The sequence below is a fragment of the Homo sapiens genome, chromosome 16 (genome assembly GCF_000001405.40).
Source record: "Homo sapiens chromosome 16, GRCh38.p14 Primary Assembly".
In the NCBI taxonomy this organism is placed as follows: Eukaryota; Metazoa; Chordata; class Mammalia; order Primates; family Hominidae; genus Homo; species Homo sapiens.
This window is the reverse complement of record NC_000016.10, coordinates 66,840,596-66,866,727: the sequence shown is the minus strand read 5'-3', so window position 1 is coordinate 66,866,727 and position 26,132 is coordinate 66,840,596. Positions and strand designations below refer to the sequence as shown.

The window sequence follows — 26,132 nt, the reverse complement described above, 5'->3', positions numbered from 1 at the left end:
CAGGGCCCCCACTGTCTGTTCAGGGGTGCAGTTCGTGGAGGGCCCAGAGCAGTTGAGCAGAAGAGGTCCATGCAGGACCCAGAGAAGTATAGGTTCTGTTGCATCCTCTGCAGAAAGCCTGGGGTCTTGGGCAGCAAGGCCCTTATAGGGTCCCCCCACCTTCCACCCCCAGAGACCAGCCTGCTCCCCCAGGATTTGGCTATGGGGATGCTGCACCTCAGAGTCCCTTGTCAATGTTCCCACCTGGGCCTCCGCCTCCTTCAGACCAACCCCAACACTTTATTCACTGCCCTCCTGGGGTGCACTTCCCCCAAGCGTAGCTTCTCCTCTCGTCCCCTAGGCTTGTTGTACCATTCTGAAGAGCATCTCGGGGAAGGGATTGTCACATGGATGGGGAGACCCCTGGCATTTGGGGTGGTCACAGGTGCCAGGATTCCTCCCCAGTTCCACACAACAAGGGATTGTTTGAATTCTTCCTGACCTTCGAGTGTCCCACCAGCATGTTCAGACAGGTGAACGATCTGTTTTGTTTTGTTTTTTGAGACAGACTCGCTCTGTTGCCCAGGCTGGAGTTCAGTGGCACAATCTTGGCTCACTGCAACCTCTGCCTCCTGGGTTCAAGCAATTCTTCTGCCTTGGCCTCCCTAGTAGCTGGGATTACAGATGTCCACCACCACACCCAGCTAATTTTTGTATTTTTAGTAGAGACAGCGTTTCACCATGTTGACCAGGCTGGTCTCGAACTCCTGACCTCGGGTGATCCTCCTGCCTCGGCCTCCCAAAGTGCTAGGATTACAGGCGTGAACCACCATGCCCAGTCTTGTTTTGTTTTGTTTTGTTTTGTTTTGTTTAACCAGGTCTCTACAGGTATCTGATGAACAATCTGTTTATCATCATTTGAACCTACAACCTTGCTCTGTTTTATTTGGAAACACAAAGGGATTTTTGCACAGTCTTAAAATGTAGAATATTTTCCAAGAATACAATTATCATGTGAAATGAGGGAAGATGGTACTTTGTGTTGAGAATTTTACCAGGAGTTATCATCATCTAGGAAACTCACACCGTGGGGGCAAAGAGACTCACTTTCCTCTGCCTGGTATGCATCTGAAGCCGCTATTTATGGAGCTTCAAAATAAGGTACAGGCTGGGTGTGGTGGCTCATGTCTGTAATCTCAGCACTTTGGGAGGCCAGTGTGGGAGAATTACTTGAGACCAGGAGTTCAAGACCAGCCTGAGCAACATGGTGAAACCCTATCTCTACCAAAAAATACAAAAATTAGCCAGGCATGGTAGTGCACACCTGTAGCCCCAGCTACTGGGGAGGCTGAGGCAGGAGGATCGCTTGAGCCCAGGAGGTCAAGGTTGCAGTAAACTATGATCGCATCACCAGACTCCAGCCTGGGTGACAGAGGGAGACCCTATCTCTAAAAAAAAAAAGAAGAAAAACAATATGGGTACAAACATCAGAAGACTTCATCACATCTTTAGTGGCGTTGTCCCCCACCATTTACATACTGACATAAATATTATTTTTATTTAAAATTACATGATTTGTGTATATACATACAATTTTATTTTTTATTTTATTTTACTTTTTTTTTGAGACAGAGTCTCACGCTGTCGCACAGGCTGGAGTGTAGTGGCACGATCTCAGCTCACCGCAAGCTCCGCCTCCTGAGTTCACGCCATTCTCCTGCCTCAGCCTCCCAAGTAGCTGGGACTACAGGCGCCCACCACCACGCCCAGCTAATTTTTTGTATTTTTATTAGAGACGGGGTTTCACTGTGTTAGCCAGGATGGTCTTGATCTCCTGACCTCATGATCCGCCCGCCTCGGCCTCCCAAAATGCTGGGATTACAGGCGTGAGCCACCGTGCCCAGCCTATAAATACAATTTTATTTATATTCATTTAAATACATATATTGTATTATATATTATAAATTACTGCCCTTTATATTACAATTAAGGCATCAAAGTGATTTTTTGAAATTGCGTGCATAGATTAGTTTGAATTTCATTTCAGGCTCATAATGGGAGGCATTGGATTTATTAATATAAAAGTAGGCTCTGAGAATCTCACAAACATAAGCAAAAAATCCGGAAATAAAAGAGGTTTCTGAAAAGAATGACTTCATTTATTGGAAGTTCAAAGTCAGGCAAATATCATTTATACTCTTAGAAGTCAGGATGATGTTTACTTTGAGAAGGTAATAACTCGGTGGGGACATGTGGGGCTTGGGGTGCAGGAAATACACTTTTGTTGATCTGGATCCTACTTACACAGATGTGTTCAGGTTGTGAAAGTGCATCAAGGGTATATACTGGCCAGGCCTAGTGGCTCATGCCTGAAATACCAGCACTTTGGGAGGCTGAGGCAGGTGGATCACCTGAGGTCAGGAGTTCGAGACCAGTCTGGCCAACATGGTGAAACCCGGTCCCTACTAAAGATACAATTAGCTGGGCACAGTGGCGGGCGCTTGTAATCCCAGCTACTCAGGAAGCTAAGGCAGGAGAATTGCTTGAACCCAGGAGGTGGAGGTGCAGTGAGCCGAGATCACGCCATTGCACTCCAGCCTGGGCAACAAGAGCAAAACTCCGTCTCAAAAAAAACCAACCAACCAAACAACCAAACAAAAAAAACCTTAAAGAAGGAGGGTATGTAGTTTTCTGTACCTATATTACATTTCAATAAAAAAATTAAAATCAAAATTAACATCACCAAAAAAGGTACAAATCAATATCAAGTGCCTATTGATATTGATATGACACTGAAAATTGATCATTTTTAATTATATTCCAACAAAATAACCTCAATATTTTCATGCAAAAACATCAAACAAACCCAATTTGAGGATATCTTACTACCTAACTAGTTGTCTTCCTTCCCCCTCCCTCCCTTCCCCTCCCTTCCCCTCCCCTTCCCTACCCTCTCCTCCCCTTCTTTTTTTTTGAGACAGGGTATCCCTCTGTTGCCCAGGCTGGAGTGCAATGGTACAGTATTGGCTCAGTGCAGCCTCAACCTCCTGAGCTCAAGAGATCCGCTACCTCAGCCTCCTGAATAGCTGGGATCACAGGGTGCTGCACCACCATGCCCTGCTAATTTTTAAATTTTTTTTGTAGAGACAGAGTCTCACTGTGTTGCCCGGAGGTGGTCTTGAACTCCTGGGCTCAAGCGATCCTCCCACCTTGGCCTCCCAAAGTGCTGGGATTACAGGCATGAGCCACCGCGCCTGGCCCTAACCAGTATTTCTCAACCTTATCAATGTGGTCAAAGACAAAGCGATTGGGAAGTTGTTCTAGATAAAGGGAGACTAAAGAGACTCAGCAGCTAATTGCAGTGCATGGTCTGGGTTTTTTTTTGTTGTTGTTGTTATAAAGGCCTTATTAGGACAATTAGCAAAATCTGAACAAAGTATGTGGATTAGATAATAGTATTGCAGCAATGCTAGTTTCCTGATTTCGATTCTTGTACTGTGGTTATGTAAGAGAATGTCCTTGTTTTTTTGTTTTTAGACAGGGTCTCATTCTGTCACCCAGGCTGGAGTGCGGTAGCACGATCTCTGCTCACTGCAACCTCTGCCTCCCGGGTTCAAGCTATTCTCCCACCTCAGCCTCTCCGGTATCTGGGACTACAGGTGTGTGCCGCCATGCCCAGCTAATTTTTGTATTTTTTGGTAGAGACGGGGTTTCACCACGTTGGCCAGGCTGGTCTCGAACTTCTGACCTCAGGTGATCTGCCCACCTCAGCCTCCCAAAGTGCTGGGATTACAGGCATGAGCCACCATGCCTGTTCTCATTGTATTATTCTTTTGACTTTTCTGTACGTTTGAAATTATGTTAAAATAGCCTGGCGTGGTGGCATGCGCCCATAATCTCAGCTACTTGGGAGGCTGATGCAGGAGGATCCTTTGAACCAGGAGGTTGAGGCTGCAGTGAGCTGTGATTGAGCCACCAGATGCCAGCTGGGGTGACAGACTGAGACCTTGTCTATACAATGAAAAAAATAAAACATAAAATATCAAAATACAAAGTTAAAAGAAAAAAACTTAAAAAACATATTTAGAGGTGAGGAGCTCTGGGTCTGATAGCAGAACCTTAAATGCTGGCTATTCATTTCCGTTTCCACAGTTGCAAGCCCAGTTTTCAGAAAAGGGGCAGAAAAAGAAGGAAGAAAAAGAAATGCAAAGCCCAGCACCTCCGGCCATAGCAGGTTCTGAGTGCTTCAGATACTGAGGGTTCATCTCTAGGGGTCTTAGTTTACAGCAAAGACTTGGCAAGGTTGGCTTAGGTGGTTAAGCTCTCGCCTGCTAACAGACACCTGATATTTTTCTCCAGGCCCCCTCTCATTTATTTTTGCTCACTGGTACTTCTCCAAACCCCTGCATCATGACCTATGACCTCTGACCTCACGGGGTGCCAGGCTCAAGGCAGGCGCCTCAAAGACTGTAAAACTGGATGCTGATGCCCTGACCTGAGCCCCTAGGAGTTGCCATAGCCACCCCTGCTGCCGGCTAAAGCAGCCAGGTTGGCGCTGAGCACTCCATCCCCAGCCTGGGGTCAAAGGGTGCCTGTGAGCCTCTTTGCACTCAGTGGACCAGAGCTGCAAAGTGGGGAGGGGTTCCCCTCCAGGGTCTTTCCACTACCCCCAGAAACCACAGGTTTCTGGATTTAGTGCTCGGGCCAGACCTTCGAAGGCTTGGCGGCCTCCAAAATATCTTTTCAGCTCACCTGGCCCTGCCTGGAATTGTACCATTAGAGCCACGCTCTCCAGGAAAGAAATCATTTCCAAGCATTGACTTCTCTGAAAGTCAGACCTCGTTGTTGTATGGGTCATGGTTCACGAACTTGGATATGTGAAAAACATAGAATGCCTTTATTTTCTGTAAATCAATTAAATCTCGCTCTGCGCTCCTATTATTGGGCTGCTGGGAAATTCAGCCTACAGATGGTCCTGTCACATTGATGGACTAAGGTCTGGGGGGCTTGGGGTCTCCTCCAGTTATTAGCCCTTGCTGGTTTTGCCCCAGCCCCGTGGCCCCTTTCAGTTTAGGAGGCACATGGGGTGACCCATAGCCTGAGATCTTGTGTGTTTTGCCCCCCAGCTCAGCCACAAGTCTGACTCTACTTCTGGGGAGGGAATCCACTTTCTCTCCTCCTTCAAGTTCTACCTGAGGCCTTCCAGGACTCCCATGGACACATTTTACAAATGGGGAAACTGAGGCCTGGCGAAGCGCTCACACAGCAGACTGAAAAGGAGGCGATAACATCCTCCTTTTCATCCCAACAAGGTGTTACTGACTGTGGCCTTCGCAGCGGCACTTGCATTCATCAGGCAACCATGTCTTACCTGTGCACAGTGCACATCCAATGGCAGGATTTCAGGCACTATGACAAGCTGCCAGGGAGTTATTTGGAGCGGGGAGTTCTTCTTTCTTTCTCTTTCTTTCTTTCTTTCTTTCTTTCTTTCTTTCTTTCTTTCTTTCTTTCTTTCCTTTCTTTCTTTCTTTCCTTCCTTCCTTCCTTCCTTCTTTCTTTTTTTCTTTCTCCTTCCTTCTGTCCGTCCTTCCTTCCGTCCGTCCTTCCTTCCTTCCTTCCTTCCTTGCTTCCTTCCTTCCTTCTCTTTCTCTCTCTTTCTGTCTTTCTTTCTTTCATGAGATCTTGTTCTGTCATCCAAGCTGGAATGAAATGGTGTGATCAGAGCTCAGAGCTCCTGAGCTCAAGCTATCCTCCCACCTCAGCCTCTTGAGTAGCTAAGACTAGAGGTGTGGACTGCCACCATCAGCTAATTTTAATTTTATTTATTTATTTATTTTTGGTAGGGACAGAGTCTTGCTATGTTGCCAGGCTGGTCTTGAATTCCTGGGCTTAAGTGATCCTCCCACCCTGGCCTCCCAAAGCACTGGGATTACCAGTGTGAGCCACTGAGCCTGGCCAAGTGGCAGGGGTCTTTCTGTTACATAATGCTGTGTGGATAGAGTGAAAAGTCATAAATCCTAGCTCTCCTGCCAACTCACTTTGACAGACTGTTTCCTCTTTGGGCCTCAGTTATTGTATCTATATAATAGGATTAGCTTAGATGCCCTAGGATTCCCTAGATGGCTTGTGTGATGTTGTTCTTGTTGTTTTTGTTGTTGTTTGAGACAGAGTTTTGCTCTGTTGCCCAGTCTGGAGTACAGTGACAGGATCATAGCTCACTGTAGCCTCGACCTCCCAGACTCAAGCAATCCTCCCACCTCAGCCTCCTGAGGAGCTGGGACTACAGGGACATGTCACCATGCCCAGCTAAGTTTTTGGTATTTTTTTTTTTTTTTTTTGTAGAATCATTGCTATTGCCTTGCTCTTCATTCCCCAAGCTGGTCTTGAACTCCTGGGCTCAAGGAATCTGCCTGTCTTGGCCTCCCAAAGTGCTGGGATTACAGGTGTGAGCCATGACACCCAGCTCCTAGATGGCATACTGACCCCATCATGGCTCGCTCTGGCTGAAGAAGTTATACCTCCAAACCCTGCTCCTGAACACTCAAGATCAGCAGTAGCAAGGGCCTATGCTCCAGGTCCCTGGGGGGTCTAGGTAACTGGAGAGACAGGGCTGTGTGCCCTCTGGTATCTCCTGTGTCTGGACATTCATGCTGAGAGCAGGAGCTGAGAAAGGAGGAGGAGAAAGAGATTCAAGTTCTTCCCAAAAACCTGAGGGACCCCCAGGGCTCACGTGCCCCTATGCCTTTCTCGCAATGCCAGTCTAAGAGGGCCTCTTGGTAGGAATAAAGGAACCATCTGCTCACCCTCCTATGTCCCAGAAGACAAAAGCACTTGAGTTGCAGCTGGAGGAATGTAGGTTACACTCATAGACTGCCAAACTGGAAACTGCCAGGGTCCAGGCATGATTCCATCCTGCAGGGCCGAGGAGAGGCAGCAGAAGAAGTTGATGAATTGCACTTGCCAGAATTTGCACTCAAGCCCTGGGTTAGAAGGTGGATTCAAACTAAGTGATGCCTGGTGCTCTCTAAGCCTCAGGAAGAGTCCTCTTCCTCCAGCCCAGGAGGTCCTCAGCCCCTGCTTTAGACCTCAATGACCCCCATGGCCTGTGGATGTAAGGGTAAAGCTCTACCTGGCATTTGAAATCTCTGCAGCCTGGGAGCCCCTGTCTCCTCAGCCCCACTTCTTCTTTTTGTTGATACAGGCTGGGCAAGAGCCAGGCCTTCTTTTTCTGTCTGGTAAATGCTCTCTGCAGCTGAGGCTTCTGCCCCTCTCCTGGAATGCCAGCTTCTTTATTCTGGGCCCCTCCTCCAGGAAACCCTCCCAGACTAATCAAATCTCAACCAAGCCAGGACTACCACCTCCCCTGACTCCCAACACTCCTCTGCAGTCAGTTCCTTGCTGAGGGTCTTGGCCTTTCTCTCAGTGGAACAGGAAAGGCCCTTCAGGGTGGCCTGGGGCAGAGCCAGCCACACTGGAGTGAAGTGGGGTTAGAGAGGTTTCCTGGGGGAGGAAGGCCCTAGCAGAGGGAGCCAATTTGGCATCAAATGTTCTGAGGCTGCTCTCGTGGAGGACAGAGGCCGGGAGCAGATCTGACTCATTCCTGCCACTTTGCCTGGCTGCACGCCCAGCCAGAGGGCTTTCTCAGACACCTGTCCAGCAGAGTGACATCCATTTAGGACTGTACTGTCTAATATGGTAGCCAATGGCCACATATGGCTTTTTTTCCTTTTTCTTATTTTTTAAAATTAGCAATGGGGTCTCACTGTGTTGCCCAGGCTGGAGTGCAGTGATTATGCACAGATGTGATCATCATGCAATACACCCTTGAAGTCCTGGCCTCAAGCAATCCTCTTGCCTCAGCCTCCTGAATAGCTGGGACTAGAGGCACATGCCACCATACTGGGCCACATATGACTTTTTTCTTTTTTTCTTTTTTTTTTTTAAGATGTGCAGTCTGGGTGCAATGGCTCGTGCCTGCAGTCCCAGCACTTTGGGAGGCTGAGGCAGGTGGCTCACCTGAGGTCAGGAGTTCAAGACCAGCCTGGCCAATATGGTGAAACCACGTGTCTACTAAAAATATAAAAAATTAACCGGGTGTGGTGGCGGGCATCTGTAATCCCAGCTACTCGGGAGGCTGAGGCAGGAGAATTGCTTAAACCCGGGAGGCTGAGGTTGCAGTGAGCCAAGATAGCACCATTGCACTCCAGCCTGGGCAACAAGAGCGAAACTCTGTCCCAAAAAAAAAAAAAAAAAGATGTCCAACTATATACTGACAAATAAGGCTTTGAGCATATGAAATGGGGCTGCCCTACGCTGAGATGTACTGTGAGCGTAAAGCACACACTAGATTTCAAAGACTTAGCACAAAAAATGTAAAATATTTCATTAGTTTTTTTCTATTAATATTAGTGACAGATTAAAATGCATATATTTTGGATATAATTGGGTTAAATTAAGTACATTATTTAAATGACTTGTTTCTTTTTACATTTTTCTTTTCTTTTTTTTTTTTTTGAGACTGAGTCTTGCTCTGTTGCCCAGGCTGGAGTGCAGTGGCGCGATCTTGGCTCACTGCAACCTCTGCCTCCTGGGTTCAAGCGATTCTCCTGTCTCAGCCTCCCAAGTACCTGGGATTACAGGTGCACACCACCACGCCCAGCTAATTTTTGTATTTTTAGTAGAGATGGGGTTTCACCATGTTGGCCAGAGTGGTCTCGAACTTCTGACCTCAGGTGATCCGCCCGCCTCGGCTTCCCAAAGTGCTGGGATTACAGGTATGAGCCACGGTGCTCAGCTACATTTTTGTTTTTGAGACAGGGTCTTGCTATGTTGCCCAGGATGGTCTTGAACTCCGAGGCTCAAGTGATTCTCCTGCCTCAGCCTCCCAAAGTGCTAGGATTACAGACATGAGCCACTGCACCCGGCCTTATGTCTCTTTCTATATATTTTATATCAGTATTAGAAAATTTTAAATTACAAAAATGGCTCACACGTCATTTCCATTTTACAGAAGAGGAAATAAGCTTCAGAGGGTTTGAGTGACAGATGGTGCAAAACCCAGGTATGACCCGGGTAAGTGGGCCCTTGGATTTGTGAGCAGATAAGACTTCAAAAGAGATACATTCCCCAGGCCTTGCTTCTGGCTAGAGGATAAATGCCAGAACATTTCGTGATCAAAGAGTCACATCTCCTCCTCCCCCCGAGTCTTGACCAACCAGCAGTACATTTGGCCTTTGAGGGTGGCCTCAGAGTTGATGTTGTGACCCATGGATGCGAGAGGATCCCCAAGATGCTCAGGCTGTTGTCTGACCTCTCTCCCCAACCCCAGGCCAGCTCCAACTGCATCCGAAAGCCTTCTGCCCTGCTCCAACCCCTCTTAGCTTTGACATCAGCTGTGGCTCCCTCCCAGGCATCAACTATCAGGTTATCTTGCAACCTCCACCTCAGACCTATTTCTGTTCCTGTCTCCAGCTGTTGCTCAGTCCACAGATCACTCTCCCCACAGATGAGCACGCCAGTGGGTATGTGTCCAGCGCTAGCCATGAGGGGACACTCCCAAGCCTTTGCAACAGCAGCAGCTATAGGGTGACCATGGGATTGGAAGACAGCCCTCTGCAGAAGGAGCTTCAGGGGGATCAGATCTTCACAACCATCCCACCTCCTGAGGCCCGCCCCATAGAAGGGACTTGCTCTGGGGCCCACAGCCTGCACTGGAGGGAAGACTGTGACCCTTGCCTGGGCACAGACTCCGCAGGCTGTGGCTGCTGGCAGGCCCACAGCCCTGCCTGGATCAATCCAAGGGCCACCACTGGCTGCCCAGGGAGGGCCCCTCTGGGGTCCTGGGAGCAAGTAGAGCTCATCTTGTCTTGGGTGTCCCAAATGTCCCCAGCATCACTTCCAGGGGAAAATCTTGTCCTGAATGAGGACTTAGGACCCAGTCCTGGGTCCCTTGAGGCCAGGTGTGCTGGGATCCAGCTGGGACATCCCATTTGGATATAATAGGGTCAAATCTGGGGCTGTAATTATAACATAAGGAGGCCACTTTCAGCTTTAAAATAGTTTTAAATTTAAAAAGTGAATAAGGGAAAGGACTTAGGGAGTGAGGATTCTTGGCAGTCTCGGGGTAATTATTATAAAACCAGCTCCCATTTTCCAAGTCCTCTGCAGCGCCGGGCCTGTGATGCCACCATCCCTGGGAGGGGCTGGACAGGGTCCCTGGCACAGTTAGCAGCATTGGGGCTATTATGCCACCTCCAGATGGCCACCACCATACCCATCCCACCCTCCTTTGAGCCCAGTTGCTCTAGTATAGAGTAGAAGAGTTACTGGACAGATCCTGGTTCAAATCCTGCTCTGTGACCTGCCTACCTAACCTCCCTGAGCCTCATCATCCTCATCTGTAAAATGGGGTAACAGCAGTTCTTGGATCGCAGGGAGAGCTGGACGTCTGCCTCAGGCCCTTTACCTGCTTTAACAGGAACATTACTGGCGTTGCTTCCCTGTTACCACAGCTGCCTGCCTCCAAGCTGAGCAAATGTTGTCCTCCAGACACCTCTCTCCCTCTCCTCACCATCTCCTCAAAAGTGGAGGGAGAAAATGGCCCCTACCTAGATCAGGCCAGGGGCGCCTGCAGGGTAACTCTCTATTTGGCCTGCTCCTCCTGTATACCCCATTCCTCCCCACTCCGGAGACAGGTTTGCCCTAAGCATGGGAGTGGGAGGGGGGTCCATAGAGCAAGCCTCTCCCTTCCCCAGATCACTGAGGTCAAAGTTAATCTAAGACCCAAAAGTGCCCTGTGGCCTGGGAGTTCCCTTCTGGTATAGTAACATTGACAGGAGCTGTGGTCAAAGTGAGCTGATGACATGCACCACCAGCCCCTCCTGGCCCTGCAGTGGGGCCTCCTTCCCAAGGGTGTTCGGACATTCCATCTCCCCGCAGCCCCCTCCACTGTCCCTTTCTCCCCCTTCACAACTAAACTTATGCATGTGAGGTCCCAGTTTCTCACCTCCCCTCACTCCTCAGCACCCCCAGTGTCTGTCTCCGGCTCCTGCCGCTGTCTCATCTGGGTCACAATCATCACTTGGTCTCTAAGCCCAACTGTGAACTTGCCCTTGGGCACTTTTTTGGACTTGGACTAGGGACTAGGGTGAGGATGCACATTTAAAAAAAAGCACTCTAGGGCCAGGCACGGTGGCTCACACCTGTAATCCCAGCACTTTAGGAGGCCCAGGTGGGTGGATTACTTGGGGTCAGGAATTCGAGACCAGCTTGACCAACATGGTGAAACCCCATCTCTACTAAAAATACAAAAATTGGCCGGGCATGGTGGTGCGCACCTGTAATCCCAGCTACTCGGGAGGCTGAGGCAGGAGAATTGCTTGAACCTGGGAGGCGGAGGTTGCAGTGAGCTGAGATCATGCCACTCACTTCAGCCTGGGCTACAGAGCAAGACTCCGTCTCAAAAATAAATAAATAAATAAATAAATAAATAAATAAATAAATAAATAAGTAAAATTAAATAAAAATAAAAATAAAACCCCCTCTTGGGGTTGTGCGTGTGCAGGGCCTGGGCCTGAAGGCACATGCCCCCTTAGATTTTCCTTCCAGGACCCCACAATGCTGCGTGTCCAATGTGGCCAGCTCCCTGTAGGGTTCCCAGAGCAAGTGAAGGCTCCACTTTCTGCTCAGGGATATGCCCTGGTCTCCTCTCTATCCTGAACAGCCAAACACTGTCTTTTGGGCACCACCTCCTAAATCTCTCTCATCCAGCCCTCTGTCTCCCACCTCCCTCCACCCTGTCCCCTCCCGCCTGGACACAGGCCACCCCTTGCTCCCTGCCACCATTCCTGCCTGCCCATCCGCATTCCTCAGGGATGTTCCCCATTTGCAGGCCTGGCCCTGCCCCTCCTCTACTATAAGCCCTTGGTAGCTCCCCGTCAGCCTGGGGAGGGGGTCCCAGGTTTCCCCCAGGGCTCTAGCCCCTTTGAGCCTTTTGAGCCCCACAACCACACTGGGCTCTCTCTCACCTCTGAGCCTGCACACTTGCCCTTCCCTTGGCCTCAAACATGCTGTTCCCTTCTATCTGATTTGGAATACTGGTTGGAATTTCATTTCTTCCTTTCTTTCTGTTTGAGAGGGCCTCGCTCTGTCGCCCAGCCTGGGGTACAGTGGTGCGACCTCAGCTCACTGCAACCTCTGCCTCCTGGGTTCAAGCGATTCTCCTGCCTCAGGCTCCTGAGCAGCTGGGATTACAGGTGCACACCACTATCACCCAGCTAATTTTTGTAATTTTAGTAGAGACGGGGTTTCAGCAGTTGGCCAGGCTGCTCTCGAACTCCTGAGCTCAAGTGATCCACCTGCTTTGGCCTCCCAAAGTGCTGGGACTGTAAGCGTGAGCCACCACGCCTGACCAGAATTGCATTTCTTTGCTGAGTGACATGGTCTTCCCCTCTCATCTGCTCCCATAGCCCCTTCCCTGCCCTTTGTGTAACCCTCACCTGCTCACCACTCATATCCCTCCCAACACATAGTGCTTAACTCACCACCATTGCTCCCCAAAGCCTAGGACGGTACTAGAGACAGCACAAGCACTCAATTGGTATTTGTTGCATGGATACATTAATTTATTAATTCAACAGGGATGGACTGTCATGTAGGTGGCTTTGGTGACTGGGTGGGGACAAGGGGAGATACTGTATAAGCTATAGCCAGGGCCTGCCCGTGGCAGCAGGTGGCTGGAGGGAGAAGGCCACGTCACCTCCAGCATGCTGGGTGCTGATTTTAATGGCCTGGCAGTGAGGTGCGTGCATGGCAGAGCCTGCAGAAGAGGTAATGCCGAGAGGGCAGCTCTGCCCACCTCTAATTATTGCTTGAGTCTCTCTGGTAGTGTCAGCTGCCCGCCCCAGGGAGCTCAGTCTCCTCCATCACAGTGTGCGCTCGGGGTGGGGCTGCTGCCACTGCCAGTGGGGAAGACCAGAGGAGGTTCCCAGGGTCTTTGGGTCTTGGAGAGCAGAGGCAGCCCCAGGCTTGGACCCTGCTTAGCTCCTGTCCTTCCTGTCCCCAGGGCAGCTGAAGGGTGCCCCAGACTCAAGGGTCCCATCCAGAAGCCTCCAGGGTGACCAAGGAGCAAACTGGCTGAAGGAGGGTCCCCAGCACCCCCCAGGGAGGAAGCCTCAGATGGTTTGGTGTCTGCTGACATGGAAGCCCTTGAGAAGATGGTGCCCTAGTGGCCGGCTAGGCAGATGGGCAGCTCAGGCCCGGAAGGAGGCCTTTACCACGCGGCCCTTCAGTGGCTGTGGTGGCCGGAAGTTGTTCACCATGTGGATCCTCTCATCGTCCTCCGAGGTAAAAAGCAGGCTCCGGAACTTCCCCATCTTGAGGAAGCAGAAGGAATGCTCAGGGCAGATTGGGGGTGCTGTGGTCCTCTATGACCCCAGATGCATCATCTGGCATACCTGCCCAGCCAGCTCTACCCCTCCCTCCTCCTTCCCTTAGGGTCTGTCCCTACTCTTCCCCACTCATTTTTCTCTGCAGGACCCTCATTTATTTACTCACTAAAGGGTCTGGGCTCTGCTTTACCTAGTTCTAGTTCCAAGCCCATCTAGCTAAGACTTATCAGCAAATGTAGCATTCAGATTCCAACACAGTAGCGGGGGTGGGGGTCCCAGGATCCAGGTATCCCCGCTCCCAGCCAGTGTCTAGGTTCTGGTGATTAACAATCAAGCTAACTCCCAACCAAGAATCTATACATTTATTAGTAAAAAATGGGGAGGAACCTTGAAGGTGGGATCACGGGCTGTGGGGTGCTAGTTGGAGAGTCACACTGCCTGGGGTGAGCCCTGAGTGCCATGTCCCTCCATCTGGTCCTCTGAGAGGACTCACCTGCCTTTCAGAGATGCAGATGGGCTCCCGGAGCACAATCCAGGTGACACTCTCACTGAGTGGGGGAGTCGTCAGAGAGCCCGGGTAGGTCCAGTAGTGCCGGCTGGCAGGCAGGAGGCACTTGGGGTTGAAGCAGCTGAACTGGGCTTTGGTGCCCTGGAACAAGGTGGAGGAACCCAGGAATCAGCATAGACCTCCCACTGGGACCAAACCAGCAACTTCTCCACCCATCTCTTTCTTTCTTTTTTCTTTTCTTTTTTCTTTTCTTTTCTTTTTTTTTTCTTTTCTTTTCTTTCTTTTTCTTTCTTTCTTTCTTTCTTCCTTCCTTCCTTCCTTTCCCTTCCTTCCTTCCTTCCTTCCCCTCTCTCTCTCTTTCTTTCTTTCTTTTTCTTTTTCTTTTTTTTTGAGGTGGAGTCTCACTCTGTCACCCAGGCTGGAGTGCAGTGGCACGATCTCGGCTCACTGCAACCTCTGCCTCTTGGGTTCAAGCAATTCTCCTCTCTCAGCCTCCCAAGTAGCTGAGATTGTAGGCATGCACCACCATACCTGGCTAATTTTTGTATGTTTAGTAGAGACAGGGTTTCACCATGTTAGCCAGGCTGGTCTTGAACTCCTGACCTCAAGTGATCCGCCTGCCTCGGCCTCCCAAAGTGCTGGGATTACAGGCATGAGCCACCATGCCCGGCATTCTCCACCCATTTCTATCAGCAGGATTTAGGCCTCTCTGTGTCCACTGATGCAAATTGTGAGCAAATGTCTGTGATCCCAGATGCCATCTTCCAGCCTGAGCCGGGCCCTCTCATCCGTTTGCTTGTATGTAAAAGCTGTGGCTCCTGGAGGTATTTGGCCACGATCTTCCCTCCCTTGCCTTCAGCTGCCCTCAATGACATTGCCTATTAGACCACCATTAATGTGACAAGCATCTTATCAATTTTATACCTAGCCGGGCTTCATGCTGGACACCCAAGGGGGCTGCTGACCCCGATGAGGAATCAGGTGCAGGGCCCTGCTGATGCTGACCCTCCTCCTTGGTCTCAGCAAGGGTTTACTCCCAGAATGAAGGACTGGAAGGGCCCAACTTGTGAGCCAGCCTCTTCCTCTCTCCCCATCGGGCTGCTTGGGTCAGGGGCAGGGACTTTACCTTGAACCGGACCATGTAGAGCGCATCTGTCAGACGATTCATGCTGGGGTGCTCGTCTCCTGTCTGTCAGGGAGAGGGCAGTGTGAGCCCAGAGCCCACTGTGTTCTAGAACTAGGGGCAGTGCCAGGCCTCCCATGCCCCTCCAGGCCCCAGCAAACCACCACTCACCTCCAAAAAAACACCAACCACAGCCAGGCCATCAGGTGCTGAGGCCGCCTCCCCAAAAGTGCTGTACTTCTTGGCATTCCAGTGAACCAGATGCAGCTATGGGGCAACAACAGGCCAATGCTTCGTGCCTCCCAGAGGCAATGGGAACTCTGAGCCAGGCTCCCCTCACTCCCACCAGACCCCTGGCCTCTTTGCAGGAAGGGGAAGCTGTCAAGCCTCCAAGGATTAGGATGCTGGGGGGTCCAGGGGAGCCCCAGAGGGTCACAGGTAGCATCCACCCAACTCTGGGCCCAATTCTTTTCTGGGCTCCGGGGGACCCAAAGAGGAATCTGGCCCAAGCCCTGCCTTGCAGGGAACGAGCTGTGAAATCGATCATGAACATCCAGCGTGACACCTCCTTGAGGAGGTGGTGCCTACAGCTGAGTCCAGAGAATAAGCAGAGGGTTATCAGAGGGAAGCCTTGGGGAAAGGCATTCCAGGCAGAGAGAACAGCACAGACAAAGCTTGGTGGTATGAAGGAGCCAGGTGTGGACAGGGGATTCGTCACATGCAGCTCAGTGTATGAAGAGGTGAGGGGAAGGATGAGGCCAGGCAAGATCAGTTCATGCACAGTCTTGAATACTGGGCTCAACCCTTAAAGGGCTGTCAGCAAGGCTGCAGTGGGACTGGGTAGCCCTTCAGAAAACTCCACGACGCACAGACCAGGAAGGATAGCAGTGGACAGGGTCAGATGGAAGACCCTGTGCTGGGGGTGGGTAGAAAATATCTCTCCCAAAGGCCCCGGGTGCTCCTCTTCCCCCTCTCCAAGGCCCGACCCCAGGCATCCTCAAGCCCCTGACTACCCAGGCCTGCGTTCCTTCCCATGTAGCAGAGGGATTCAAGTGGAGGAGGGCCCGTACCTCGCTGGGGAAGGACTTGCCGTCCACCGTGTGCTCAGAACCCACATCGTGCTTCTTGCCCCAGTGGAAGTGAAACTGCTTGAGGCGGTAGGGCCCTTCCAGGGGGCCCCCAGTCACCACTGTGGGTAGAAGTGGGGCGAGTGGCAATGAGTAGGAGAGGACCGACAGCCCAGTGCCAGGACCAGGGCAGCAGCCCAGGAAAGGGACATTTTTTTTTTTGAGTCAGGGTCTCGCTCTGTTGCCCAGGCTGGAGTGCCATGGTGCAAACATGGCTTATGATAGCCTCAACCTCCTGGCCTCAAGCCATCCTCCTGTCTTGGCCCCCCCGAGTAGCTGGGACTATAGGCATGTGGCACCACACCTAGCTAATTTGTTTATTTTTTGTAGAGATGGGGTCTCTCTATGTTGGCCAGGCTGGTCTTGAACTCATGGGCTCAAGCAATCCTCCTGCCTTGGCCTCCCAAAATGCTGGGATTACAGGCACGAGCCACTGTGCCAGCTGAGATACATTTTTCCTTTTTTTTTTTTTTTTTTTTTGAGATGGAGTCTCGCTCTGTCACCGAGGCTGGAGTACAGTGGTGGCACAATCTCAGCTCACTGCAACCTCTACCTCCCAGGTTCAAGCATTTCTCCTGCCTCAGCCTCCCAAGTAGCTGGGATTACAGGCACCTGCCACCACATCCGGCTAATTTTTTGTATTTTTAGTAGAAAGGGAGTTTCACCATGTTGGCCAGGCTGGCCTCGAACTCCCAACCTTAGGTGATCTGCCCACCTCAGCCTTCCAAAGTGTGGGATACATTTTTCATTTGGAAAATTCACTGGGCTGACTGGGCTTGGGTTGGTCCCCACTGCCCCCTAGACCCCTGTCCCTTGAGCTGGGCCAGGGCAGAAATCCTGACAGCCGGCAGGTGGCAGAAGGGTCTGGGACTGACAGAGGACAGCTCTCTATCTAGCTGTCCTCCCCGCTCCTGCCCGATTTCCCATGGAGGGTGGGACCCTGCCTCCCAGGACCCCCATTATCACTGACAGTTAGGCCTACCATGTCTGAAACCCTGATCCAGGGCTAGGTTGAAGAGACTATTTTGTTTAGTCTGCATAGTAGCCCATGAGGGACAGAACTTATTATTATCCATATTCTACAAAGAGAGAAGCTGAGGCACAGTGATGACGAGGCATTTGCTCAAGGTCACACAGCAAGGCACTGAACTAGGGTATGAACTAGTATCTCTTATGTCCAAAGCCCAAGCCACTAATCACCAGGCAACACTGCCTCCCTAGAACCTTGAAACTTCTTTAAACTTTGTGCTTTTCCAGAAGAGGAGGGTAGCTCCTGAGGGTCTCTACCTTCCTGGACAGGCCCAGGTGCCTCCAGTGCCGCCTCCCCCAGAAATGGCCTCTTCTGAGGGCCCCACTTGTGCTGGCTTTGTAACTTTCTTGCCTTGACACCCAGTGAGCTGGGGCCATGCACGAGGCCTCCTGGGACTGATAGAATTTCCAGCTGAAAGGGATCTGGAGGTGGAGGGAGCCCCAGCTAGGCTTGAATGTGAGCTCCTGGATCAGATAACACCCCAGGCTCAGAGTTCCACTGGTCCCTTCCATGATGGGTGACCAGGGTAGGGCTTTGGCCCTGTGGCCTCCTTAAGCAGGAGGACAGGACAGTCCAGAAGTCCCTCTTTCTTGCCCGGTCTTATCAAAGAGGCAAGACCTGGGCACTGGCTAGGAGTCTGGGAGTAGTAGCTGTGGGTGGGGCCCTAATCAGGCTGCCCCATCCCTGGAAGCAGGAGCGGCTGAGCCTGCAGGCTAAGCAATTGGATAGGTCTGCAGATGCCACCCTCCAAAGCATGCCTCACCTGGGACCCTATAGTGTGGGCTCCTAGAGAGGGAGCTCCCTCCGTAACACCCCTTGACCTTGGACCCCTTAGCCTCCTCCCCCAGTTCACACACAGAATGTGCTGCCATTCACGGGGCACTCAATGTGTGTTTGGCACTCTGCTGGCATCAACCCGTCTGACCTCTGGAGTGACCCACAGTGGGTGAGTGGCAGAGCCCCACCATCTCATTCCTCTTTTCACTGGCTTCCTGCGCCCTCCGGCCTGGGCATTCTGGGTGGGGGAGGGAGCCCCAGCCAGGCCTGAAGGCAACACCCCAGATCAGTAATCCAAAGGCATGTCCCCCTGTGTCTTCTCCCACCCCAGTGGCCTTCATTGAGCTACTGATTTCTTAGTTGAGCCCCCAGTGCCCTCTGAAGGCTGTTAGAAGGGACAGTCATATGAAAACTGTTCCTTGCCAAACTATCATCTAGGGTCAGCTAGAGCCCCACGCCCCCTCCCCAAAGCTCTGAGTAAGAGGCTTTTCTTAGAATTCAGTACCAGGAAATAAATGCTTTGTCTCTCTCCTGAGGATCTGCTAGACTCCCTTTCTTTTGCAGCAAAAACTATAATCAATCCTCTTTCTGTTTTTTCCTAGCCTACCAGGGAACTCAGAACTAAGTAAGATCACTCTTCTCATGAAAGGTCTGGCTTCCTTCATCCTCTTTGCCTTTTAATTTTCCATTTGAAACTTAAGTTCCTTTGAGGGCTTTTATTGTATTTGTGGGGAGGGGAGAAGGAGGAGGAAGGAACCAGTTATTAATACTTCCTTACACAAGAAACTCTAGTAGGTTTCTTCCTCGCCCCATTCCACCACTCTACCCAGTCGTAAGGCCCAGTCATAAGGACGAAAATCCCTTCAATGAACAGCACTCCTGTCTAGGAATTTATCATGAAAGAATCTGGACTCTAATCCCAGGGCAAAGAGGCCTTGGAAGGAGCTGCCACGAATTCCCACTGGCCTCTTACTGGCCCAAGATGGTTGGACCTTGAAGTCATAGGTGAACTGGAGAGAGAGAGAGAGACCTTCAGGCTGGACCAGGCTGCTTCTGGCCCTCCCCAGCTCATCAAGCCTCTATTTGCCCATCTGAGAGATGGGTTATTGAGAAGAATAAATGAGCGGCTTGTGACTTTAGCAAGGGGTTTGGCACTTGTAAATTTTAGCTCCCTTCTCTCTCCCTGCTAGGCTTGGCCAGATCACACAGCGAGGAGGGCTTGGCAGGTCAGTGATGGGGCAGAGAGTGAAAACAAACCTGATCTGTAGCACCACAAGGAAGGGAAGGAAGGGAAGGAAAGAAATTAGCATTTCCTGAGCATCTGCTGTGTGCCAGATCTATCGACCTTACTTGGTTTTTTCATTTTTCCCCTCTATGACCTAAGAGGGTAGGTCTTATTGCTCTCACTTTATACATAAGGAGACTGAAGATCAGCCCAAGGCTTCACAGCTGGTGAGAGGAGGAACCTTTCTTACCCACCATAGCATGCTTCCTGAGACTGCCCAACACAAGGTTAGGACCCTAAGGGGCCAGGGGCCAGGTGCCAGGCTTTGGCAGGGGCCACTTACCGGTTCGGTCATCGCTGTCATTGAAGTCTACCTGGACAGAGTGGCCATTGTTGGTGATGCTGAGGGACATGCAGGCCTCATAGGAAAGCTCCAGTGGTTGCAGGCTGGGAGAGTACACAGCCTGGCTGGAGATGATATTGATGGGTGATTGGCGATCTCCCTGGGCAATGGGATACAGCTTGTGCCAATGCGAGGGGCCTGCAGGTGGGGAGGAGGGCAAGGACTCAGGCCAGCCAGGATCTCTGGGCTTCAGGCCGAGGACACCCATAGGGGAATGGTCTCTTCAGCATCCTTTCAGAGGTGAGCCCCTGCATTGGAGCTGCACAGCTTGGAGTTCCAATCCCAGCTTTGCCATTTCCCCTTTCAGCCTCCATTTCTTTGTCTGTGAAATGGTCTCACTAAAACTCACCTTCCAGTGCTGATAGGAGGCCCAGAGAGGTACTGTATGGAAGGGAACATAACAGCTACAGGCTCGGGGTGGCTCAGAGTAATAAGTCTCCCCAACAGGGAGACCTCCAGACATCTGAAGTCTCTGACCTGACCCCATCAGTATCTCACCTCTTTCTGTGCCTTGGGCAATTTGGTGTTGGTGTTTGTGATAAATAACAACAAAAACTCACATCAACCTAGCTTTGACTCTGTGACATGTATTTGCCTCTCACAACCACCTTGTGAAATAGAAACCAGCAAGATCCCCATTTCACAGATGAGGGAACTGAGGGCCACTCACACATGTGTGCATGCATATGTACTAATATAAATACAGCATGTGCATGCACTGCCCCCAGCTGCCCTCCCAATGTGTGTGCCTGCAAGTCCATAGAGATCTTCCTATGAACACATTAATCTTTCTATGATCTTCCATTGTGCACACAGAGCAGCCAGGCCCAGAACATTCATGTGTACAAACACACACACAGCCCTGCAGACTACATCTGACACACGCATATGCTCTCTCACACACAAACCCCTCTGTTGGAGACCCAAGTTTGCATAAAGGACCACAGCAAAACACATGCCCATGCACACACACACACACACACACACACACACCTGCATACACACCCACAGGCGCCCACCACCTGCCTCCCAGAGGATCCATCTGCAGCCGAGAGGCTCAGCATCTCCCTGGGGAACATCCTGAGATGCAGCCTATTTTTAGAGCTACTGCCGGCTGGTGCTTCTCCCCCTTTTTGGCTTCTTAAGTTTTCCTGAGAAAACAGCAGCAGGTGCCGACAGAGCCGTGTCCCCAATGGATGACTCAGAATCGTGGCCCGGCCCCTCTGGGTTATTTTTGAAGCCCTGTGAACACTGCTGCATGCCGGCACCTCTGTCCTCTGTCCTTCCCTTCCTCGACTGGACAATCCAGCTCTGCCTGGGTGATGGGGTGGCTGCTTTGGGGGAGCAGGCCCATGGAGCAGGCTACACAGGACACTGGGTGCTCAGAGCTGGTGGGCATGACTAGCAAGAAGAGCTGGAGGCAGGGGACTCTGGCTCTGGGGGAAGCACCCAAAAGGTGGCTCAGAGCAGGTGCTGGGAGAAGATGATCCCTATGGGTCCTGTCCATCTGCCCCATGTCTGCCTGTCTCTCCCTCTCTGCTTGTCTATATCATCTTTTTCTGAATGTCTCTTTCCAGCTCTTGCATACCCAGATCTGGGGGTTCTCTTCCAAAATATGCTCCTTTGTTCTTGGGGCCCCAGAGGGAGCCAAAGACTCCACAGCACCCTCCCTCTGGTCTACTGCAACTTTCTGGCTTCCCAGACTGTGGTCCCCCACCCAACCTCACAAAGTGACTGCCTCTCCGCAGAGGAGTGGGGCTGGGGGATGTTCCTCCCATCATTACTTTTTCTTCTCCGCACCCCACCTGTCTTGCACTGGCTCCCCAGGGAAATAGGGAACCCCTTACCCCACACCCCCACCCCTGCTTGGTAAGAAATGGCCCCAAAGGGAATTGACTGCCCCAGACCCACACTCCAGCCGTCTGGCTCTCACCTTCTGCCTCTTCTCCCTTTCTCTGAGTCCTAAGGAAACTGAGGCAGGATGAAGGAGCTCTCTTCCGCGTCAGCCCAGGAGGCTGGTGTGGGCCACGGGCTCCCACGACTCACACCCGGACGTGCGCAAACACCCTGCTCGGTGTAGACACCCAGACACATGCTTGCGCCCCCAAGTGCCCCCTTCCCTCACGTACCGGCCGAGAAGGCAGCTCGGCCACTTCTGCGGGGAAATTCTCTCCGGGGGACACTGCGCCCTTGCCACGCGGAGCCCCGCTCCCCCGAGGTCCCCGCTCACTTGCCGTGCGCGCTCCCCGCAGACACCCGCGCACAGCGCTCCGCGGCGCCCGCCCCCCGCTGCCCTGGGCCACCCCCACGCGCTGCGCACGCCCGGGGCGAGTGAGTGAGAGTCTGGGCCTGGGTCTGAGCGGGCTGGGCAATCAGGGGCTTCGCGGAGGAGGCGGCAGGACACAGCCGCCAGGTCGCTTGCTGGCGGCGGGGCCACCCGGGGCGCAGCGCGGACTTTGCGTCTGGCGCGGGGGACCAAGGCTTGGGCCAAGTTCGGGGGCCGGGATGGGAAGAGGGGTCCCGCCCAGCCTGGAGTGTGGGAGCTTTCCGGTCTGGGAAACCAGCTGGGCAAGAGGGTTGGGGCGAGTGCAGTTGGGTCGGGGGTCCGAGCCAGAGGCGGTGGGGGAGGTCTGTGCCTACCGTCGTCCTGGCCGTAGCCCCAGCCGTGGTGGCCGGTCATGCCGCTGCCGTCCCCGCAGCCGTGCACCTGCCCGGTCGGCTCGGTCCGCTCGTTCGGGCTGCGGCTCCGGCCCCGCTCGCTACCGCGGAGCAGCCTCTTAAAGCAGCGGCTGGCGGGAGGAGCAGTTCCCGGGGGACCCGCCCCCCACCCCCCAGCAGGGCCAGAGAGGCCGGCCTGCCCCGCCCTCGCCCGCCGGCGAGCCAGTTGAACCCCGAGCGGAGATTCAGGGCAGGAGGAAGTAACCCTCTCCCCCCAACTCCCACCCCTGCCCTGGCTGGGCGACTATCCCTCTTTTTCCCCCAGCAACCCGTGCGGACTCTGGGACACTAGATGCCCGTGCCGCACATGGCGTCCCTTCCCTAGGCTTGCCCCAGACCTGCAAATGCCACCACCAGAGACCTGAGCTCTGGGTCCTGAATCTTTTGGGGTTGGAAAGTCCCCTTTAAACTGCAAACTACACTGACCATCAAGTGTCCAAAACTGGAGCTTCCACTGTTTGCCAGAGGCTGTTGCAGGCGCTGGACCAAGCTTTGGGTCCTTCCTATGGTATAACCCTCTCTGTTACCCTACAAGGTTGGGTGCTTCCATCAGCCCTATCTGACAGAGGAGGGGAGTGAGGCCCAGAGAAGTGAAGTGACTTGCCCAAGGTCATCTAGCCAGGGGGTAAAGGGTTCATTAGCTGGGGTTCTTACTCCAGACACTGGGGGTTTTGTGGGATTTGTTTGTTTGTTTGTTTGTTTGCTTGTTTGTTTTTAGACAGAGTCTTGCTCTGTCACCCAGGCTGGTGCTATATCAGCTCACTGCAACCTCCACCTCCTTGATTCAAGTGATTCTTCTGCTTCAGCCTTCCAAGTAGCTGGGATTACAGGTGTGTGCCACCACATCCAGCTAATTTTTGTGTTTTTTGTAGAGATGGGGGTTTCACCATGTTGCCTGGGCTGGTCTTGAACTTCTGGCCTCAAGTAATCCACCCGCCTTGGCCTCCCAAAGTGTTGGGATTAGAGGAGTGAGCCACCACTCCTGGCCTGACACTGGGGTCTTTACCATTTCTCCTTGGTGCTGGGTACAAGGGTGTGCTGTGAGTGTGGGGGTCCGGGAACCCTGGGGTAGATGCAGGGACAGGAATGGCAATGTGAACCCTTGGCCCAGGTGGAACCAGATCCCCCAAGGGGGAGTGAGAAGGAGTGGCATCAACCAATGGGCCTGAAGACAGGCAGACACCAGGTGGCTTCCCCATGGAGCTAAGTCTGAGGCTCTGACTTCCACCCTCCCTGTTATTTTGTCTACTGCTTCCTCCTTTCTTCAGGGACTCTGCTTTGTCCCTCCATAGCCTGCTGTTTGTCCCTCCTCTCCTGACCTCCCCATAACCTTCAGTACACCCCCTGGGAGCTCAGACCCTCCACCCTGCACTCAACCCCAGTGCCTGCCTTGGCCCAGTATTTTCCCACCCACGAGCCCTGGTCGTTGTTGTGCCCTCCACCTGGTGCGTCCTCTGTCTTCCACCCACTGGCTCCAGCCGGCCCAATCTGATTCATCTTAGCACGTGGCCTTGTGCCAGGGAGAGGGCTTGTCTCTGGCTAGTCCTCAGCAGGCAGTTTTGGAAAGACAAACAGAGGGGTGGATGGAAGGACAGATAAATGATCCCACCCGGGGTCCTGTACTCAGCAGGAGTCGAACAGCCACTAGTACAATGTCTGCTGTCCAGATCTTGAATAGAGACACTCTTTCAGGCCCTGCTCTTGGCTGACCTTGTACAGGAATCTGCCATCTTGTCTGCCTGGCTCCCCTTCATCTCTGTGTCTGTCTCAGTTTCCCTCTCCCAGGCCCTGAACCCCAGATCCTCAGATAGAGCTATGGAGATTAATTGATAACTGGTTGGGTGGGCCAATGTCAGTGACTGCCCAGGCCTGCGAAGATGGCCCTCTCTGATCCAGGAGCAGGAAGGGATCCTTAATATAAATATGACCCTAGGGTGGGGCAGGGGACTTATGACAGAGATAAGTAGCCCCCAAGACCAGATGTGACAGAGAATCCAACACTGTCAAGGCCCCAGGTCTCCAAGCTGGAAATGGCATCTACAGATCAAGAAGACAAAGGCATGCTTCTGGGTGAGGCCTGGACCTTCTGTCTCCCAGAGAAGCCAGCCACCCTTTACCTGGGAGAGCTGCCAACATCCTTTACCTGGGAGAGAGCTCTGGGGATAGCCCAAACTCCATTGACCCATTTCCTCTTCAGAGGGACTCAGGTCTTTTTCATATTTATTTGTAGTTCTTAAAAGATACAACTGGGCCTGGCACAGTAGCTCATGCCTGTAATCCCAGCACTTTGGGAGGCTGAGGCGGGCGGATTACCTGAGCTCAGAAGTTGAAGACCATCCTGGGCAACATGGTGACATCCCGTCTCCACTAAAATACAAAAAATTAGCCAGGCATGGTGGCAGGTGCCTGTAGTCCCAGCTACTCGGGAGGCTGAGGCATGAGAATTGCTTGAGTCCAGGAGGCGGAGGTTGCAGCGAGCCAAGATTGCACCACTGCACTCCAGCTTGGGCTACAGAGTGAGATTCTGTGTCAAAAAAAAAAAAGATACAATTGGAATTCTTCATATAGTTTTGCATCCAACTTCATCTACATAGTAACCCTGGGGGGATTTTTACCCCATTTTACAGATGAGAAAAGCAAAGCTCAAGAGAGGATGAGTGATGGGCTCGAAGATGCACAGTGAGTGACTGAACAAAGATGAAAACCCAGGGCTGCTGGGTCCCTCGTTCAATATTGTCCAAAATCACTGGAAAGGGAGGAAGCGGATTTTAAATTTGACTCTCATTTGTGTGTGTATGCAAGTCCTCTCTAAAAGGACTTAGGAGAAGCTAGGGAGAGTGTTTACCTACAGGGAGGAGACTGGACACCGGAAGGTTGTGGAAGGTTGTGGAAGGGTGTGGTATGGCGTGGGAAGGACACTCTTTACTGGTACTCCTTTGTATCTCTTGAATGAATTAAGGCATGTATTACCTCTTTAACAACCAAATAAAAGTTGATCCAGTTCTTTCCTTCCTGCAGCCTGTCTTCAGCATTTTCTCTGGGTACTGGGAACTCAGGAAAGTGAGAGGAGACAATGGAGACTGCCCTTCTAAGGTGAAGCGCCAGCTGCCCCAGCAACCCACTCAGGTCAACTTGGGGGAGCCTGTGCCTCCATTCAGGTGCCTCCAGTCTCAATTACATGCTGTTTTTAAAGCCGAGTTGATTTCTCTGCTTGAGAGTTTTCTCTTTGGTCTCACTGGTGTCAGTGGCTCCTGGTTTTTGCTATTTATATGGGAGGGGAAAATGGGGGATGTGAGGGCTGTGATGGAGGCCTGGGGGAGGAAGGCATGAGCAGCCTGTACAGCCAAGTCTCATTCATCAAACGACCTTGGCCTCCAACTTTCACTTCCTTTTTTCTTTTTTTTTTAAAGATTATATAGAGACAGGGGTCTCACTATATTGCCCAGGCTGGTCTCAAACTCCTGGCCTTAAGGGATCCTCCCACCTCAGTCTCCCAAAGTGCTAGGATTACAGGTGTGAGCCACTATGCCCGGCCTTGTTGGGTACATTTAAAATCCCAAATATTTCTTCTCTAATTATAGTAGTGACATCTATTGTAGAAAATTTGGAAGTCAGAAAAGCATACAGCAGAAAATTAAAATCACTGGTCATGTCACTACTCAAGGATCACCACTGTTAACATTTTAGTGACCATCCTGCCAAGGTTTCCTTTTTTAATTATATTTTTATTTTTTCCATAAGTTATTGGGGTACAGGTGGTATTTGGTTACATGAGTGATTTTTTTTTTTTTTTTGAGACGGAGTCTTGCTCTGTTGCCAGGCTGGAGTGCAGTGGTGCGATCTCGGCTCACTGC

General features: G+C 51.8%; 1 protein-coding gene and 1 long non-coding RNA gene across 4 annotated transcripts in view, besides 3 other annotated features; one reads left to right on the top strand and one right to left on the bottom strand.

Moving 5' to 3' along the window:
- Positions 1–25,295, top strand: part of LOC124903699 (uncharacterized) — a 31,823-nt gene extending 6,528 nt beyond the window's left edge. Inside the window, exons 2-4 of the long non-coding RNA XR_007065088.1 lie at positions 8,990–9,040; positions 13,043–13,323; positions 24,906–25,295. This is a non-coding gene — a long non-coding RNA (uncharacterized LOC124903699). The remainder of the gene's footprint in view (positions 1–8,989; positions 9,041–13,042; positions 13,324–24,905) is intronic.
- Positions 1,501–1,694: a silencer, noted in NCBI's record as "fragment chr16:66898937-66899130 (GRCh37/hg19 assembly coordinates)". NCBI's record gives its function as "represses an EF-1alpha promoter that drives an FKBP-Casp9 reporter gene in an ReSE screen in K562 erythroleukemia cells {active_cell/tissue: K562}" and the evidence as "EXISTENCE:reporter gene assay evidence [ECO:0000049][PMID:32094911]".
- Positions 7,416–7,616: a silencer, noted in NCBI's record as "peak2618 fragment used in MPRA reporter construct". NCBI's record gives its function as "represses an SCP1 promoter by STARR-seq MPRAs in K562 erythroleukemia cells {active_cell/tissue: K562}" and the evidence as "EXISTENCE:reporter gene assay evidence [ECO:0000049][PMID:32103011]".
- CA7 (carbonic anhydrase 7) lies at positions 12,581–22,314 on the bottom strand. 3 transcript variants are annotated; one of them, NM_005182.3, is made up of 7 exons: positions 22,201–22,314; positions 19,501–19,698; positions 16,069–16,187; positions 15,170–15,265; positions 15,002–15,064; positions 13,861–14,016; positions 12,581–13,352 (listed from the first exon to the last, which is right to left on the bottom strand). In NM_005182.3, exons 1-7 carry the CDS (start codon positions 22,238–22,240, stop codon positions 13,230–13,232), a joined length of 795 nt encoding a protein of 264 aa, NP_005173.1. In that variant the 5' UTR covers positions 22,241–22,314; the 3' UTR covers positions 12,581–13,229. The 3 variants fall into 3 exon arrangements, with proteins under 3 accessions (NP_005173.1, NP_001014435.1, NP_001352266.1); NM_001014435.2 differs by lacking the exon at positions 22,201–22,314 and adding an exon at positions 21,494–21,799; NM_001365337.2 differs by lacking the exon at positions 22,201–22,314 and adding an exon at positions 21,690–21,799.
- Positions 21,885–22,386: an enhancer, noted in NCBI's record as "H3K4me1 hESC enhancer chr16:66878245-66878746 (GRCh37/hg19 assembly coordinates)". NCBI's record gives its function as "activates a minimal SCP1, AML or CMV promoter by ChIP-STARR-seq in primed H9 embryonic stem cells {active_cell/tissue: H9 hESC(primed)}" and the evidence as "EXISTENCE:reporter gene assay evidence [ECO:0000049][PMID:30033119]".
- Positions 25,296–26,132: the final 837 nt, after the last annotated feature.